This window comes from Homo sapiens, chromosome 6 (genome assembly GCF_000001405.40).
Source record: "Homo sapiens chromosome 6, GRCh38.p14 Primary Assembly".
NCBI classification, from domain to species: Eukaryota; Metazoa; Chordata; class Mammalia; order Primates; family Hominidae; genus Homo; species Homo sapiens.
In genome coordinates this window covers 130,565,131-130,578,766 of record NC_000006.12, presented here as the reverse complement: position 1 = coordinate 130,578,766, position 13,636 = coordinate 130,565,131, and the positions used below count along the sequence as shown (strand labels likewise).

Genomic DNA, 13,636 nt, shown 5'->3' with positions numbered 1-13,636 from the left:
GATTACTCGAACTATAAAACTTTGTTTTATATTTCAGTGGCAACTTAATGATAACCGATCTATTCTCCCCTTTAGAGAATCAATAATATTGGTTGATTATTCTGTGTAGGGCACTTTTTTTGGACACAGTGGTCTCTTTAACTCCAAAACACTTAACACATAAGGAAGCCTAAATATAAACATCAATATACAGTTGACCCTCAAATAAGACCAGGTTTGAACTGAGTGGGTCCACTTGTATGAGGATTTTCTTACTCCTCTGCCACTCCTGAGACATGACCAACCTCTCCTCTTCTGCCCTGTCCTCAGCCTACTCAACATGAAGATAACAAGGATGAAGACCTTTACAATGATCCACTTCCACTTAATGAATAGTAAATATATTTCCTCTTCCTTATGATTTTCTTAATACATTTAATTTTCTTTAGCTTACTTTATTATAAGAATACAGTATGTAATACATATAACATATAAAACGTGTCAATCAATTATGTTATTAGTAAGGCTTGTAGTCAACAGTAAGGTATTAGAAGTTAAGTTTTTGGGGAGTCAAAAGTTATATATAAATTTTCTGCACAGGGGGTCATCCCTCTAACCGTCATGTTCAAGGGTCAACTGTAATCAGAAAGGGACATGTGGAGCATGAGGGTAAGGAATTTGCTTGTTTCAGAGGAGACTAAATTCCTTACCTCCCCACAGAGAGGAAAAGAAATGAAGCTTGGAGGTGTTTTTGTTTTGTTTTGTTTTGTTTTTTAATGAAGGAAAAATTTGGGAACAGATGAGAGCAATGATGAAGAAAAATCAGTTTTTGGAAGTGGTTTAGCTAGCGATAAGAGTCATTAAACAAAAGTATTTAACAGTTGTCCTCAATAATTATTGTTGTGGGAATGAGTTAATGAATGACTCGTGTATAAAACCCAATTTGGAGTCTCTGTAAGGCTTGAGTAATGGGAGTCACTAGTTTCAAACCTGTCTTGAAATGATTTCCACCCTGGTGGCTGGCCTGACCGAGGAAGGCTGCACTAGAAGGAGAAAGAGAGTGTGGACGTGTAATGGTGGACCAAGCCCAGACGACTGTCAGTGCAGCTCACCGTGGACTTTCTGAGAGCTGCAGGAGAGTAAGCCCTGGGTGTCAGGGACAGAGAGGGCTTAAAAATGTAAATGGAATACTCCTAAGAAGGTATAAATGTGCTATTGAGTATTTTTTCACTGTTATTTAGCTGCTAAGTAAACCATTTAATATTTTTGATGATTTTTGATGACAAGAACTAAAGATTCCATTGAGAGACTAGACTTGACTGTCATTTGTATTGAATTTCACCATTTTACATTTTTAAAAAGCAGTACATGGATTATACATAAATGCCACTTCCTGTACAACGGAACCACATCAATCCAATCGTTGCTTTTTGAATAATGCATATTAACAGCAGGAAACAAAGTCTGCAGAGATCTACACTTGTTGGCAACAAAAATTAGAAAAATGTTTCATGTGAATTTTTAAAAACATTGTTTAGGAGTAGGAAAAAGCAGACTAATATTTTTAGAAGCAGACTGACCTATAAATGTGTTGAGGGGGACGGGGCATCAGAAGCATTTGTTTCACACCCTTAAATTTTCATTAAGAAGAATATTAGCTGTTGAAATGTGACAGAAAACTGTCATCAGTAAATGTAATCAGATATATAAATTGGACTATCAGCTACAAGGCAGGGTCAAAATGCAAATTTGTCATTAAGATACAAAAAAGAAACCCACTATTACAAAAACAAAGGAATTTGTATCCCCATATGTGACACTGAAAATTTTTGGGCAAATCTATTCATTATAATAGCTGTTAACTAGATTAGAAATAATTTAACTTTAGAAATAATTTCTCGCTTATGCATGTAATGATTTCCTCCCCATTATTTACTTCTGAAAAGAAATAGAAAATCTACAATGAGATCAGAAACATTTATTAGCTTTTGAGCTTTTAATCACTTTTTTTTAATGGAAATACAAAACTGACTTAAAGTTATATGGCAGCCAATGGGAAAGCAAACTGAAATCCGAAATCCTCACATTGCTTCCATCATTCAGTCCAAGAGCCTTTATGAAAGGAGCCGGGTTTTATTGCCCATACAGTGTATGATAAATACAGCATATTATAAATATGCAAAGGAGCATGCATTCATTAGAGACATGAGGAAAGGGTGAGTTTATGTTCAAATCATTTTTTTTTCTTTCCAAATTAAGCTTTGTGATGAGTGGACGTGGTTCACAGGAAGACCAGGCTAGCTCCCTGCACCCCAGATTCCCTGGGGGTTGAAGGTACATCAGATTCAACAATAAATGGCCCAAACCTCTTGGAGGAATGCTGATGTAGAAGAGAACAATTGAAAAGATGGTTGATAAGTTAGGGAGGTGAGGGAACAGGTAGGAAAAAATGGAGAAAAATACTGACTTGCTTATTTGACCTTCACCCCATTCATGGGCAAATATTAACCTGCTGCTTTCAGTTGCTTTTTGTCTGCTCTAACAGGGGCAAACTGGAAGCGTATGTATATAGAGGCAATGCAGCACACCACAAAGCCCTATTAAGACAGGAAGCCAGAGAAATGTTCAACCACAGCTGCTGTAGCCGCAACAAGAAACCTCACAGGTTGTGGGGAAGACAGCTATGGCACAAAGGGTTTCTAAATGAAGGGGATGGAACTGCCTGTCAATCCCTAAAGCTTTTAACTCAGGGAGGTCTTTCAAACATATCTCACCTCAATAGTAGAAGAGATGTTCTTAAAGCCACTGGTAGATGCATTCACGTTGCATGTTATAGGTTTGTGGAATAGGAATAAAAATAGCTGAAGTCATTGTAATGTGGTCGGAGGTGTTTGTATCATCCAGTCTTAAAAAACGCTTACAATGTCAAGGCTAAAATTGATGATTGCAAATGGAGAAATTGAGAGGACTTTGAAAACAGTTTATCAGCTACAACTAGCCCAGACTAACCCAGAAGAAGGTGCTATGTGGTAGGATGTCTCAGGCCCTTCGTGATCTAACTCCTCCTTGCCTCCCCAGCCTGTAGCTCCTACCAAGTCTCCTTGGATTCTACACTAAGGCCTGTAAAACTACACAGTTCTCAGTCATTTGCTATCACTCCCTAACCTCAGAAATTTCTCCCTGTACTTTTTACCTTGCTAGTTGCTCTTCAATTTTCATGCTCCAGTTTGAAAATAATCTCCAGGGAGCTCTACAGTTACGTTAACCAAAATTTGATTCCCTTATTGTAATCTATTTACTTGATAATCTCCCTTACTAGACTGTCAGCTCATTTGTTCATCCATTTATTAATCTCTTGGACAAGTATTTAACTTTCTATGCATGTCACCAGCAGGATCTTATGTACAACAGTGAACCATGTGGAAATTGTCTTTACTTTCATAGACTTTCAATCTATGGAGAGGTCATGGAATCATTGACCTTTTCGGCAAACCTGCCTGATGTTGAGGATTCACTAAGTTGCCAGATACATCATGGAGAGACACAAAAGGGCTACGTTTGGCATATGGGATTTTATCACTTTGGTAATACAAAAAGCTATATCTAGTACTTGTAAAGTGTGGGTCAGGGTAATAACGATTAGGAATAGTTTTGGCTGCCTGTAACTGAAAATTCAATTTACAAATAAGGGTCTAGTGCTTTTTACATAACAAGTGTGTAACTAGACAGTTCATTGTCTCCACAATGCCATCAGGGATTCAGGCTCTTTCTGCTTTCAGCCACCCCTAACATGTGACTTTTATTTTCACGATTGTTGCCTCATGGTGGAAAAGTGGCTGCTCTACCTTCACCATTGTACTGCATTCCAGGCAGAAGAAGGAGAAGGGTGAAGAGCAAAAGATACAGGCTAAGCGAGACTACCTCTTCTTATATTTTCCTGAATGAAGCCACAGCCAGCACGTTCTGTCTACATCTCATTGGCCGGGAACTAAGTCACAAGACCACACTGCAACTGTAAGGTAGGCTGAAAAAAGTCTCTGTTTTAAATTGGGCATACATTGTCACCCTGAACAAAACTGTGGTTCTTTTGTAAAAAAGAAGAAAATAGATAGAAGGTAGCCAGTAGTGTCTGCTGTAAACATAAATCATTATTCAAAATCATTTTTAAGCCGGCAATTCCTAACTCTGGATTGACTGAAGTTCTGAAAATACTCATTTCTATTTATTGTTTGCAACTCAGGTTGTACTTACTTGTGGTGAAATTGTAAAATGGGTTTTGAGTGCTCATTTATTCCCAATGTGTTTCAAGCAATAGAGAACATATAGGGATTATATTGCACAGAGGCAAACTCCAAAGTGTTGGAGGATTTTAACTCCCCCGACAGCTGTGGTAAGCCTTATCCTGTTTGGCATAAAGCTGAACATCTGTTAATAAATAAATGTCTCAAAAGATAAACAATGAATGGAACTAACACAAAGGCTTAATTCTAACCAACAAGAAAGAATTAGACAAGTGGTATGGTGGAAATAGTCCAGCCTTTAAAATCAGACAGCCAGGTTTTAATTCCTGACTTTTATACTTATTGGCTATTTGGCCATAGGCTATTTTCTTAGTCTTTCCAAGCCTGTCTTCCCACCGGTCTGAGAGAACAGAACTGAGATAATATTTCATGGGGACTGGTCTGAGTGCAGTGGTGTTAACAACTAATTGATCTTAACCAGTTACTTAACCAGTTTCTTAACTAGTTACAGTTCCTTCTTCACTCCCACTACTTCACTTGACTAGACTTTATGAATTTTTTAAGTGAAAAATAAATACTTCATGGGGTTGTTGGAACAATTAAAAAAGATAATGTATGTTAAAGGCCTAGTGCATAACAACAACATACTTCTTAAACATAAAAGGCATATTTGATTTTTGAACCGGAAGCAATCAGAATATTTAGAGAGAAGTTATCCTTAAGAAAATTCTAGGAAAACAGAGGCTTCAGAAAATACAAATTTGCCTTGGTGAGCATAAAAATGATGGCATTTCTGCTTTTGGAATATAGATCTCAAAATTTTTCCAGGACAAAATGGTATGAATTTACAGCCAGAGATGAGAAGGTTGGTAAGCAACAACAACATTTAGATCACACCTTTACTGTGATGAGAAAGAAATAGGACTCCAAGAGTATCCTCATCATAGATTTTTAAAAACACACACAGAGGCTGGTGGAAGAGAGGCCCGTAAGAAAAGATGCTGTGTAGGTCTAGAACAGCCATGCTGTCCTGCAGATCAGATCCTTTTTGGGCTCTCTCTCTCTCAATCCTGCACTTCAGGAAGGTTTTTAGCAAATCAGAACAAGTCAGAAGATCATTCAGGATAGATAGAAGTTTGGAATCCTTATATACAGAATGGTCAATGAAGGTGGTGCCATTTGATCTGGAAGAAAAATATCCCTAGAGACCCACTGTCTGTCTTCAAAGGCTCACAGCTGTGACACAGTGCAGGCTTCAGACTGGAGGTGGTAGGATGGTGGCCTACAGATGCACTGTGTTGTTGGCCCAAACAAATTTTTTAAATGTTTTGAATTAGCAGCCAACTCTTAAAGTCATGAGATTTTGTGTAGAAATCTTGATTTCTGACTTCCAATTCTTTGAAGAATTAGAAATTCTATCTCCCTTTACAGCAGCCAATAGCCAGGGATGAGTAGAGGTTGCCCATTGTACAAGAGATGTGCTCTCTTTTTTACCGTTCTGTTATTTTCAACATATCCCTTAACAACTGAGCAATCTTCACAGCAATCTTTCGCCAGCTTTCTTTCCCCGTACTTTTTCTAATAGGAGATGTATATTGTTTTCACGTCTTTATCAAAATGTTTATTATTCCCAAACAGCACCACTAACTGGCATTTGAAGTTGTAGCCCATGGTGTAGGTTTACTCTGTATTGTGCTGGGTGTCAAACTAGAGCATATGGCAGATTTGAACTCAATTAAAGAGCTTCCTAACAGATTTGTTTGAAAATGGAGTGAGTGGCGTTTTCAGAGTGTGGCCATTGATTGTGAGCTGCCTATAACTATGAATATTCAAGAAAAGGCTGAATGCTCACTGATAGTGATGCTGTATGAGAAAGTCTTGCATGTCATACAACAGTTTCTCATTGTTATGCAATAACTCAGAGAGGTAACCATGACTCCCACCCAGTTGTGCCAGCACATTTTGATATATATATTTAAGTATACTTTAAGTTTTGGAGTACATGTGCACAATGTGCAGGTTTGTTACATAAGTATACATGTGCCATGTTGGTTTGCTACACCCATCAACTTGTCATTTACATTAGGTATTTCTCCTAATGCTATCCCTCCCCTGGCCCCCCATGCCCCCACAGGCCCTGGTGTGTGATGTTCCCCTCCCTGTGTCCATGTGTTCTCATTGTTTAACTCCCACTTACGAGTGAGAACATGCGGTGTTTGGTTTTCTCTTCTTCTGTTACTTTGCTGAGAATGATGGTTTCCAGTTTCATCCATGTCCCCGCGAAGGACATGAACTCATCCTTTTTTATGGCTGCATAGAATTCCATGGTGTATATTTGCCACATTTTCTTTATCCAGTCTATCATTGATGGGCATTTGGGTTGGCACCAAGATTTTGATATTGTGAACAGTGCTGCAATAAACATACATGTGCATGTGTCTTTATAGTGGAATGATTTATAATCTTTTTGGTATATACCCAATAATGGGATTGCTGGGTCAAATGGTATTTCTAGTTCTAGATCCTTGAGGAATCACCACACTGTCTTCCACAATGGTTGAACTAATTTGCACTCCCACCAAAAGTGTTCTACATACTCTCCAGCATCTGTTGTTTCCTAACTTTTTAATGATCACCATTCTAACTGGCGTGAGATGGTATCTCATTGTGGTTTTGATTTGCATTTCTCTAATGGCCAGTGATGATGAGCATTTTTTCATGTGTCTGCTGGCTGCATAAATGTCTTCCTTTGAGAAGTGTCTGTTCATATCTTTCACCTGTTTTTTTTTTCATGGGTTTGTTTGTTTTTTTTCTTGTAAATTTGTTTAAGTTCTTTGTCGATTCTGGATATTAGCCCTTTGTCAGATGGATAGATTGCAAAAATTTTCTCCCATTCTGTAGGTTGCCTGTTCACTCTGATGATAGTTTCTTTTGCTGTGCAGAAGCTCTTTAGTTTAATTAGATCCCATTTGTCTATTTTGGCTTTTGTTGCCATTGCTTTCGGTATTTTAGTCATGAAGCCTTTGCCCATGCCTATGTCCTGAATGGTATTGCCTAGGTTTTTTTCTAGGGTTTTTATGGTTTTAGGTCTTGTGTTTAAGTCTTTATCCATCTTGAGTTAATTTTTGTATAAGGTGTAAGGAAAGGATCCAGTTTCAGCTTTATGCATATGGCTAACCAGTTTTACCAGCACCTTTTATTAAGTAGGAAATCCTTTTCCCGTTGCTTTTGTCAGGTTTATCAAAGATCAGATGGCTGTACATGTGTGATGTTATTTCTGAGGCCTCTGTTCTGTTCCATTGGTCTATATATCTGTTTTGGTACCAGTACCATGCTGTTTTGGTTACTGTAGCCTTGTAGTATAGTTTGAAGTCAGGTAACATTATGCCTCTAGCTTTGTTCTTTTTGCTTAGGATTGCCTTCGCTATGCGGGCTCTTTTTTGGTTCCATATGAACTTTAAAGTAGTTTTTTCCAATTCTGTGAAGTCAGTGGTAGCTTGATGGGTCTAGCATTGAATCTATAAATTACTTTGGGCAGTATGGCCATTTTCATGATATTGATTCTTCCTATCCGTGGTTACGGAAAGTTCTTCCATTTGTTTGAGTCCTCTTTTATTTCATTGAGCAGGGGTTTGTAGTTCTCCTTGAAGAGGTCCTTCACATCCCTTGTAAGTTGGATTCCTAGGTACTTTATTCTCTTTGTAGCAATTGTGAATGGGAGTTCACTCATGATTTGGCTCTCTGTTTGTCTGTTATTGGTGTATAGGAATGCTTGTGATTTTTGCACATCGATTTTGTATCCTGAGACTTAGCTGAAGTTGCTTATCAGCTTGAGATTTTGGGCTGAGGTGATGGGGTTTTCTAAATATACAATCGTGTCATCTGCAAACAGAGACAATTTGACTTCCTCTTTTCCTAATTGAATACCCTTTATTTCTTTCTCTTGACTGATTGCCCTGGCCAGAACTTCCAATATTATGTTGAATAGGAGTGGTGAGAGAGGGCAACCTTGTCTTGTGCCAGTTTTCAAAGGGAATGCTTCCAGTTTTTGCTCATTCAGTATGATATTGGCTGTAAGTCTGTCATAAATAGCTCTTATTATTTTGAGATATGTTCCATCAATACCTAGTTTATTGAGAGTTTTTAGCATAGAGGGCTGTTGAATTTTGTCAAAGGCCTTTTCTGCATCTATTGAGATAATCATGTGGTTTTTGTCATTGGTTCTGTTTATGTGATGGATTACATTTATTGATTTGCATATGTTTAACCAGCCTTGCATCCCAGGGATGAAGCTGACTTGATCGTCGTGGATAAGCTTTTTGATGTGCTGCTGGATTCAGTTTGCCAGTACTTTATTGAGGATTTTCGCATCGATGTTCATTAGGGATATTGGCCTGAAATTTTCTTTTTTTGTTGTGTTTCTGCCAGGTTTTGGTATCAGGATGATGCTGGCCTCATAAAATGAGTTAGGGAGGATTCCCTCTTTTTCTATTGATTGGAATAGTTTCAGATGGAATGGTACCAGCTCCTCTTTGTACCTCTGGTAGAATTCAGCTCTGAATCTGTCTGGTCCTGGACTTTTTTTTGGTTGGTAGGCTATTACTGCCTCAATTTCAGAACCTGTTATTGGTCTATTCAGACAATCGACTTCTTCCTTGATAAATATCTTTTTAAAATCACTTAAGAAAACTATAACTGAGCATAAACCCTACACTATTAGAATGTTGGGCTAGAAGATAATGGTAGCGTAGAGTAAGGTTCAACCCACAGAAAGTACTTAATGAAGGCAAAAAAAAAAAAGATTGCGTGTTCCCAGGAAAACAAGAGAACTGTGCTCTGTGGGTCTCTAAGAAGGTATAATCAGGCCAGTAAACAATTCTACTCAAATAGAGATATAGCACTGAAGGGCAATGATCGTGATAGCCAGGGATGCTATAATAGATTCTATGAGACTTTGTTATATGAGATGGGGACTGCATTGCAACTGTTAATCTGTTTAGTACTCTTTGTAGTCTTTTGACCTCTTTAAATTTACTGATAAAATGATAAAATGTTCAGAATATTAAGTGTGCTGCAAATATCACTAAGGACTTGATAGAAAGCTGAACTGGACAGCCTCTTCTTTGTTCAAGGCTAGGTAGTAATACACTGTTCATCTAGGTTCTAAACCAAAGAAGACTCTACTGTGAACTCATCTCATTTTTCAAAAGGGATTTTAAAAATTTAGATAATGACGGGCCCAATTCTTTGAGGTATAATACAGACATGAGACTCCGTTGATGCATTTTTTTCCTACATTGAATGCTGAACTATGGACATAGCAAAATATGATTGTAGTCATGTGTGTTAAAATTACTATACACCGTGCATTTTTTTATTTGATTAAGAAAATATAGGAAGGTTTTTTGCCAGTTTATTATTCATGGTGTGCTGTACTACTGGTCCCACAACTGTTGTTGTTCCATGATGTGGGCCTCTAATATCCAATAACCTACATTACTCCTATTAACTTCAATCAATAGGCAGTAAGAGCAAAAGGCCAAGGGAAAACTTGCAAATAATCACAAACTAAAGTGCAAAATTCAAATCTGCAAAGCAAGTGGCAATAACGTTTTAGTCTGAAACAGCACTCAAGCTATCTTTCCTTTTCTCGTTCTGTTTAATTTAAAAAGGCAATAGGAATAGAGCATTTCAAATCACTTTGTTGTGGATTTATAAGGATGTTTCTTCGTTGGGACAAGTCATTCCTCCTGTGGAGGAACAATACCTCATTTTTGCATTAAGAAAATAGTATAAAGTTTCTGGTGAAAGATTAGACAATTATTCTCATTCATGGATCTACAAGGCCATCATGTCAAAACATTTATGAAAATGTTCCGTTCCTCCCTTTTCCAAAGGCCAGAAGTTTACCCCTGTATGTGGCAGGAGATATGAGTTTATCCTTGTTTTTATTATTTGATAAATGGATTTAAGTTAAAATATATTGCATTTAGCAAAATTATAGTATAATGTTATAGCTGGGATATTGACATTTATACAATCCCCCTCTATCCCTGGACTTACTTTGCACTAAGCTCTATATAATGTTATTACCTGTATAGGTTCATGTACTGGACAGTTACAACACCACAGTGATCTCCTATGCAGTCATTTACAGCCATCCTGTCACTCCTTCACACACTCCCTCTACAACCCCTCAGTCTTGCCCCTCACCTCTCCTTTAACTGGGGTCTTGAGATTGTTTGCATTTAAAGTAATGATATTTTGCATGTTCTTGTTTGTGGGATCTAAAAATACAAACAATTGAACTCAATGGACATGGAGAGTAGCAATATGGTTACAAGAGGCAGGGAAGGGTAGTGAGGTAGGTGGGGTGGGGTGGGACCGGGTGGATGGGTGGGAGGTGGAGATGGTTAATGGGTACAAAAAAATAGGATAAATAAGACCTACTATTTGATAGCACAACAAGGTGACTATAATCAGTAATAACTGTACATTTAAAAATAACTAAAAGAGTATAATTGGATCGTTTGCAACACTACGGATAAATGCTCGAGGGGATGGGAACCCCATTCTCCATGGTGTGATTATTACTCATTGCATGCCTGTATCAGAATGTCTCACGTATCCCATAAGTATATATACCTACTATGCACCCACAAAAAATTTTTTTAAACATTTCTTGTAAAAACTGAAGTAATTAATGATACTTAACACTTAAGTCTGCCATTTTATAATTTATTTTCTATTTGTTTCCTCTGGTTCTTGTGCCTCTATTTTTTTCTTGCCTCTTGCAGGTTATTTGAACTCTAAAAAATAATTCCATCCTGTTTAAATGTAATTTAAAAAAGAGTAATTTCAAGATAGTGATTTTGTGTGTATCTGTTTATGTTGTTTTCATGACAGTCACTCTGGGTTTTATAGGTATATGACATCAACTACTAGAACCAATATTTACTACTTTGAGTGAAGTATGGAAACCTCACTTCTATTTAGGTTCCTTTATCTTTCCCATGTTTAAATCTTGTCTTATGTATCAGATGGTGTTATATATTTGTTTCCATCATCAAATATAATTTATTAAACATATGAAGAAAAGGATAGTTTACTATATGTACCCGTATCTCTTCTCTTTTCTTTATTCATTGTTCCTTCCTGATGCTGAAACATTTCTTCTTTTATCATTGTCTGCCTATTAGAAGAACCTCCGTTAGTGGATCTTTAAGGGGATATCTATTAGAAACAAATTATTTTACTTTTCCTTTTTCCAAGAATGTTTTCATTTCCTCTCATTCCTGAAGGATATTTTTGCCAGATATAGTGAAATTCAGAGTTGACAATTCTTTTATTTCCGCACTAAAGATTGCACCACTTGCTTTTTGTCTCCAAGATTTCAGATGAGATACCTGCTATCATCTGAACTGGTATTTTTAAGTAACACATTGTTTCTCTCTAGTTGCTCTCAAGATTTTTATCTTTCATTTTCAAATGTTTAATTATCATGTGTCTTGGTATGAATTTCTTTGTTCATCCTGTGTGAGCTTCACTCAGGTTGGATGTATAGGTGATATGGTTTGGCCATGTCCCCACCCAGATCTCACCTTGAATTGTAATAGTCCCCACAAGTCAAAAGCGGGGCCAGGTGGAGATAATTAAATCACAGGGGTGGTTTCTCCCATACTGTCCTCACGGTAGTCAATAAGTCTCATGAAATCTGATGGTTTTATAAACAGGAGTTTCCCTGCATGAGCTCTCTTTCTTGCCACCATGTAAGACGTATCTTTGCTTCTCCTTTGCCCTCCACCATGATGGTGAGGCTTCTCCAGCCATGTGGAACCGTGAGGCCATTAAACCTCTTTCCTTTATAAATTACCCAGTCTCGGGTATGTCTTTATTAGCAGTGTGAGAACAGACTAATACAATAGGTTTATATCTTTTGCCAGATTTGAGGAGTGTTCAGCCATTGTTTTTCCAAGTGCTCTTTCTGCCTTGCTCTTGCTCTTTCTCCTCTTTCTCTGGGACTTGATGAAATGACTGTCAGATCTTTTGTTAGTATTCTACAGGTCCCTGAGGCTCTGTTCATTTATTTTTTTAGTCCATTTTTTCTCTGTGTTTTAGGTTGGGTTAATTCTATTGTTTTATCCTCAAGTCTACTGATTCTAACCTCTGTCCTCTCCCCTTTTCCATTGAGCCCAGCCAGCAAATTTGTCATTGTTTTGACATTTGTTATTGTATTTTTCAATTCTGTAAATCTCCATTTGATTCTCTTTTGTAACTTCTATTCTTTGCTGAGATTTTTTTTATTCTCATTTATTTCAAAAGAATTTTAATTGATTACTGAAGTGTTTTTATGATGGGTGTTTTAAAATCTTTGTCAGAGAATTCCAACATCTGATCCATGTAGGTGTTAGCATCAGTTGATTCCTTTTTCGCTTTCAAGTTGTGATTTTCTGGATTCTTGATGACAAGTGACTTTATATTATATCCTGGGCATCTTGTCAATTACGTTCAGGGACTCTGAGTCCTATTATTTCAGCAGCAGTTAATCTGTTTAGGTTCAGCATGCAGGTTTTGGCCTATTTTTGTGGGCTGTTCTTCCAATGGCCATTTACTTTGTAGAGCCTTTATGGGGTTATTTTGGTCTGTTTGTATATCAGGTGCCACTGGGGCTCTCACTGGTCCCTGCTGGTGCTGCCTATTGGAGCAGAAGGGCTAATTTGTGTGGAAGTGGCTTTCAGTAAGGGTGGGGCATGGCAGGATACCTCCTTTCTGCCCTGATGTCTCTGAACAGTGGGGACAGAGAAATTCTCAGAGCTGATGGGACAATGAAACTTGCCAGACCCGGCTGCTAGGCTGTTGCCTTTGCTGGGTCCCTCACCTGCCCACCCTGTGTCTTTGGCTGAAGTTGGAGAATTTCAGGCCCACAGGGACAGAAGGGCTTCCCAGACTAGGCTGCTTATTGGGACTGAGTCTCCTCACCTGCTTCTACACACCTTCCCTAGAAAAACGTATCATTTAAAAATTAACAGTGATATTAAGGAAAAGCCAGTTTAGTTATAGTTGGAACTATGCTCATGCTGTATTTGTGCAGCTGATTTTTTAAGTGTATTTTCTAGAACCTAAACTCCACAGGTTTTTCATATGGCAGGATCTAATATTCCTGCTCAGGACATTAGTTGTATTATCTGCTGAAATGGTGGTATCCAGAGAGTATTGATTGGGGGTTGATGGTAAGCTGGAGGGAGGCCCAGATGCGTGTTACAGGGTTTTACCTTGGCCATTGGTTTTGTCACAGATTTGGATATAGTAAATGATGGAGACATCAGATTTGAGGACAGCACAAAACTCAGTACAACAGATAAGAATTTGCGCTGCATGTCTCTGGTTCTTCAATATATCTAATTTCACTTTGACAC

General features: G+C 37.8%; 1 annotated feature.

Moving 5' to 3' along the window:
* Positions 2,498 to 2,687: a silencer, noted in NCBI's record as "silent region_17540". NCBI's record gives its function as "represses an Ori minimal core promoter by ATAC-STARR-seq in GM12878 lymphoblastoid cells {active_cell/tissue: GM12878}" and the evidence as "EXISTENCE:reporter gene assay evidence [ECO:0000049][PMID:35858748]".